Source organism: Homo sapiens, chromosome X (genome assembly GCF_000001405.40).
Source record: "Homo sapiens chromosome X, GRCh38.p14 Primary Assembly".
Lineage (NCBI taxonomy): Eukaryota > Metazoa > Chordata > Mammalia > Primates > Hominidae > Homo > Homo sapiens.
In genome coordinates this window covers 94,187,852-94,192,272 of record NC_000023.11, presented here as the reverse complement: position 1 = coordinate 94,192,272, position 4,421 = coordinate 94,187,852, and the positions used below count along the sequence as shown (strand labels likewise).

The following is a 4,421-nucleotide window of genomic DNA, read 5'->3' as shown; positions in this document are numbered from 1 at the left end:
TTTATCCTAGACACAACCCTATGTCATGTGATCTTATTATTCCTATTTCACAGATGGGGGTAAGAGAGTTTTTATAATTATTTAATAGTTGATGAAGCCATGCCTAAAATCTAGTAGTCTAAATTCAGACCCTGTGCTCTTCACCAGTATATACTTTAGATTTTGCCAAGAATATTCATAGTCTAGTAGTTTACTTTCTACTTAATGTATATTCAAGTTTGGAAAGCAGATATTCATGACACGTCTATGAAAGCCTAATATAGACATAAGCCTGAAACAACAATAATATCAGTAATAACAGCTAACAAAAATACAAGTTAAAAAATGCAAACTGAAACATCCAGCATTTTATCAACTAACTACAGCCAACTTCCTTAAGAAAAGATATAGTCTTAGAACGACTATAAACTAAGTTTGCCACCCAGGAATGTATTTTTTGTGTGAACACAAAGTGAAAAGCACACTAAAAATTAATATGAGAAGACTTTAGCATATTTCTTTTGATATTTAATGGATAAAGAATATAGATACCAAAGAAGATAACAGAGGCTCTGAATAATGAAATAAGGGTGACCTAATACAGCATTTCTCTGAATGGTGTGGGATGAGTAGCTGCTATGAAAAAAAATTTCATGGTCAAATACATTTGAGAAACATTTCAAAGGTAAATGTTTTTTTAATTGCAGGTATTCACAGGCCTTTAATATGCTAATACACATTTAACAGCACCCAGAACTTGACTGCATAAGCAGTTTCCCCCAAATATTCGGAAATCTTATTTTTTTATTTATTTATTTTTCCCCCAGCTTTACTGGGGTATAATTGACAAACAAAAATTGTATATAGGCCGGGTGCATTTGCTCACATCTGTAATCCCAGCACTTTGGGAGATCAAAGTGGGAGAATCACTTGAGTCCAGGAGTCTGAGACCGGCCTGGGCAACATGGTGAGAACCTGTCTCTACCAAAAATAAAAAAATTAGCTGGGCATGGTGGCACAAGCTTGTAGTCTCAGCTAGTCAGGAGGCTGAGGTGGGAGGATCACTTAAGCCCAGGAGGTCAAGGCTGAGTGAGCCGAGATTATGCCACTGCACTCTAGCCTGGGAAACAGAGTGAGATCCTACCTCAAAAAAAAAAAAAAAAGGATATATTTAAAATATACAACATGATATGTTTTATGTAGTTGTACATTGTGAAATGATTACCAAAATCAACCTCATTAACATATCCCTCACCTTATATAATTACATTTTTTTTGTAGTGAGAACACTTAAGATCTTCTATCTTAGCAAATTTCAAGTATACAATACATTAATATTAATTACAGCTATCATCCTGTAAATTAAACTTCCATAACTTATTCATCTTATAACTGAATGTTTGTACCCCTTTTTTTTTAGTGAAACACCTTTAGTGTTACAGAATATATCTTGAGCACTATAAAACACTGAAAAAAAATATATATATGACTCTACAATTCAGACCCTACAATTCAGAAACAGAGGATACAGTTTCTTTTCAAGTTTTCGCAAAACATTTGTAGAAGTAATCATGTAAATACACAACAAAGGAAATCTCAATAACAATCAAACAGAAAAAGGAAGATTCATCTCCCTGACTTGCAGTTAGGGATGTTGAACACATACATCTATTTTTACTCTCTCCCAGTCCCCACTCTTCTCCTCCCACACACAAACTATAAAGTATAATTCTTTTAAAGTGTAAAGGGAGACAACTAGAAAGAAGATGGTTGAGTGATAAATGATTTAACTAACAGGAGAAAACTAAATCCGAACCTACAGGTGAAGAAAACCTAGAGCCAATCCAATTAGTAATGCTCTAAAAGACTCAGGAATCGACAGCAGCAAATGCCTCTGGAAATGAAGAAAAGGATTTTAAAATAAGGAGAATAATTTGAAAAATTGCTTAAGAAATAGAATCCCAAATGAAATCTTCCATCTCAGCAAAGGAAAAAATGTTTTATTTTTTGGAGCAGCTAAAACAGAGGTCCTATGGATTAGAGAGCACCAGGAACACCAGTATGGGATTAACATACTGAAAATAAAGGGGACTGAATGTGCAATTACTTCCTGAGTTGTGAGTCATTCCCTCCCAGCCTTTTTCAGCTCTTTGGCTCCCAGAAGGCTGGCATCTATATTTACTTGCAGTCAGAAAATACAAAGTATCTTATCTATAGAAACAGATTGACCCAAGGATAAAGTCAAGATACAGGTGGAGTGTCCCTTAACCAAAATGCTTGGGAAGTGTTTCGATTTCAGAGGTTTCTTGAACTTTGGAATATTTCCACATATATAATGAGAAATCGTGGGGGTGGAAACCATGTTTAAATATGAAATTCATTGATATTTCATATATACCTTATACACTTAGCCAGAAGGTGATTTTACACAACGTTTTAAATAATTTTGTGCATGAAGCAAAGTTTGTGTACATGAACCATCAGTAAGCAAAGGGGTTCCTTTCTCAGCTACCCATGTGGACAATCTTGCTGTTGGCATCACCATAATTACTTATTCTGAATTTGTAGGCTACTGATAAGCAATCATTTTCTTCCATGCATTCACACATCAATACTTAAAAGTAAAAAAAAAAAAAATGACATATCACTAATACAGTGAAAAAAGAATGTGTCCGTGGTAACTAAGCAGCACAATAGCATCACGAGAATAACTGTATCCGCTATTAAACAACAGCAACAACAAACAGCAGGCTTTCAGTCTCCACTTATGATGCTGTTTTTTGATTAAAAGCTTACTGTACACTGCATTTTATTTTTTAAGTGAGAATCTGGGCATGTGTGGAAAAGATATATTACACCTGAAAAAGGTTTGGAGGGTCTTTTTTTTTTTTCTTGATGATGCTAAATAAACTATGTGTTGAGCAATTTTGTTTTGATCATTACCTGTTACATGAGTTCAGTGTGGAATTTTCTTCTTGTGGTGTCATGTTAGCATTCAAAATGTTTCCGATTTTGTCAGCATCTCTGATTTTGGATTTTCAGATTAGGGGTGCTCAACCTATAATGACATCAGTAATTCACAGATAGTTAGCCAAACCAACTCGCAGTCATGCTTAGAACTTCAAATTAGTTTTTTTTATTCTCCACTCTCAATTATGAGCAAGCAATTGAGGATTATCAGATATTTCAGGAAAGCCTAAAAGAAGAAGACAAAAAAGGGACAAAATGCATCTTGGAGGAAATAACGACTTTTTGAAATAAGAAATCTGAAATAAAACTATGAGAAACAAGTATTCTGATAATTTTACAGTACTCTTAGAATTTTTTAAAATGTTAGCAGAAATTTAAAAGTATCAGAAGATAAAGTTTAAGAAGTAACCTGGAAAAAGCAAAAAGATAATGAGATGGAAATTTAGTGAGAAAATATTAGAAAAGTAGAGGACAAGTCCAGGCGGTCCTATATCTAAAAGATAGAAATTTCAGAATGAGAGAAGAGAGAAAATAGAAGGTAAATAATCATCAGTAAGATAATTCAAAAATATTTTTCAAAAATGAAGAATATGATCAAAAGGAGCTGCTAAGTACAGCACACAAAATTTAAAATACACAGACAGCAAGGCACATTAATATTAAATTACAAAACACTAAGTAAAAAGGAAAGATTTATCGAGTTTTCAGAAAAAAGAAGTAACATACAGAATAGAAAAATCAGAATGGCCTTCAGTTTTTTAAAAAGTAATGTCAGAAACTAAAGAAAACAGGCTGGGTGCAGTGGCTCATACTTGCAATTTAAGCAGTCCAGCATTTTGGGAGGCTGAGGCTGGATGATCACTTGAGGCAAGCTGTTCGAGACCAGCCTTGTCAACATAGACCCTGTCTTTACAAAAATAAAGAGTAAAAAGAAATTAGCCAGGCATGGTAGTGTGCACCTGTAATCCAAGCTACTAGAGGGGCTGAGGTGGGAGGATCCCTTAACCCCAGGAATTCCAGCTTTCAGTGAGCTATGATTGCACCACTGCAACTGAGCCTGGGTGAGGGAATGTGATCCTCTCTCAAGGAAAAAAAAAAACTGGAAAGCTAGTTATCTACCACCCAAACAAACCATCAGTCGAGATGAGGTTAAGTAAAAGGCATTTTCAGATGTTCATGTCACAGTTAGGTCCCATAAGCATTTTCCTAATAATCTACTAGAAATATACTTTATCAAAAAGAGGGAGTTTTTTTTAAAGCAAAAGATGTGGAATACAAGATATAAGAGATCCAAAACAGAAGAAAGAGAGAGATGAACAAAACCCCAAGGAAGATGGTGAAGGAAGATCCCAGGAAGACATCTGGGCAAAAGTGGAGAGCCTAGATTGGGATATATGAGAAAGCTCTCGGTGAGAATTCTCAGGGGAAATGAAAGAAATAGAACACCAGATAGATGTTTCAACAGCTTTAAA

General features: G+C 34.8%; 1 annotated feature.

Annotated features, from left to right (window-relative positions):
- Nucleotides 433-934: an enhancer, noted in NCBI's record as "NANOG hESC enhancer chrX:93446338-93446839 (GRCh37/hg19 assembly coordinates)". NCBI's record gives its function as "activates a minimal SCP1, AML or CMV promoter by ChIP-STARR-seq in primed H9 embryonic stem cells {active_cell/tissue: H9 hESC(primed)}" and the evidence as "EXISTENCE:reporter gene assay evidence [ECO:0000049][PMID:30033119]".